The sequence below is a fragment of the Homo sapiens genome, chromosome 12, assembly GCF_000001405.40.
Source record: "Homo sapiens chromosome 12, GRCh38.p14 Primary Assembly".
In the NCBI taxonomy this organism is placed as follows: Eukaryota; Metazoa; Chordata; class Mammalia; order Primates; family Hominidae; genus Homo; species Homo sapiens.
In genome coordinates this window covers 52,163,819-52,164,685 of record NC_000012.12, presented here as the reverse complement: position 1 = coordinate 52,164,685, position 867 = coordinate 52,163,819, and the positions used below count along the sequence as shown (strand labels likewise).

The window sequence follows — 867 nt, the reverse complement described above, 5'->3', positions numbered from 1 at the left end:
AGACCAACCTGGCCAACATGGTGAAACCCCGGTCTCTACTAAAAGTACAAAAATTAGCCAAGCATGGTGGCGGGCGCCTGTAGTCCCAGCTACTCGGGAGGCTGAGGCGGGAGATTCGCTTGAATCTGGGAGGCGGAGCTTGCAGTGAACCGAGACTGCACCATTGCACCCCAGCCTGGTTGACAGAGTGAGACTCCGTCTCAAAAAAAAAAAAAAAAAGAATTTAGCACAGTGCCTGGCACATGGTAAGTGCTTAATAATGACAAAATAGTAAGCACGCTAAACTTTGAGAGCCGTTCCCCTTTTCACCTTATCCCTAGTCAGGTTGGAATCAGCCTGGCCCAGGTGGCTTGACTTGAAGTGATCAGGCAAGTGTCCACACAGTCAGCCAGCCTCACCTGCCCCCTTCCCCACAAGAGAGGCCAGGGCTCCGAGACCTGTCTCAGGGGAGCTGAGGACTGGAGAGGGTGAGGGAAGTGGCCCAACGCCCCCTTCCCTTCTGGAGCTGACTGCTCAGGCAGCATTCCATTCCGGAAAGGTCAGCTCCTGCCCTGCCAGCCTGCACCACAGCAACCTCTGCCCTCTGCTGGCCGTGACAAGACAGTGCTTCTTCGGAGCCTGAGTAAGCCCTGCTGGCTCTCCCCTAGGGAGGGGAGGAGAGAAGACAGCTGGGGCAGGAGCTCAACCCAGAACTCAGATCCCCACACACTCAGGCTCAAATTTCAGACTTAAACTCAGAATCCCCCAGGGCTGAGCCATCTCTCCTGCCCTGGCCTCCCTTCCCCAGCAGGCACAGGCTCAGTGCCTTCCACAGAGAGGGCTGCCACAGCCCACAGGCCTCAGGGACCTTGATCCCATGTGAAATCC

General features: G+C 56.6%; 1 annotated feature.

The window, feature by feature from the left end:
• Positions 342-511: an enhancer, noted in NCBI's record as "experimental_28931 CRE fragment used in MPRA reporter constructs". NCBI's record gives its function as "activates a minimal promoter by MPRAs in K562 erythroleukemia cells, with activity observed for the introgressed 12:52558044 variant allele {active_cell/tissue: K562}" and the evidence as "EXISTENCE:reporter gene assay evidence [ECO:0000049][PMID:34662402]".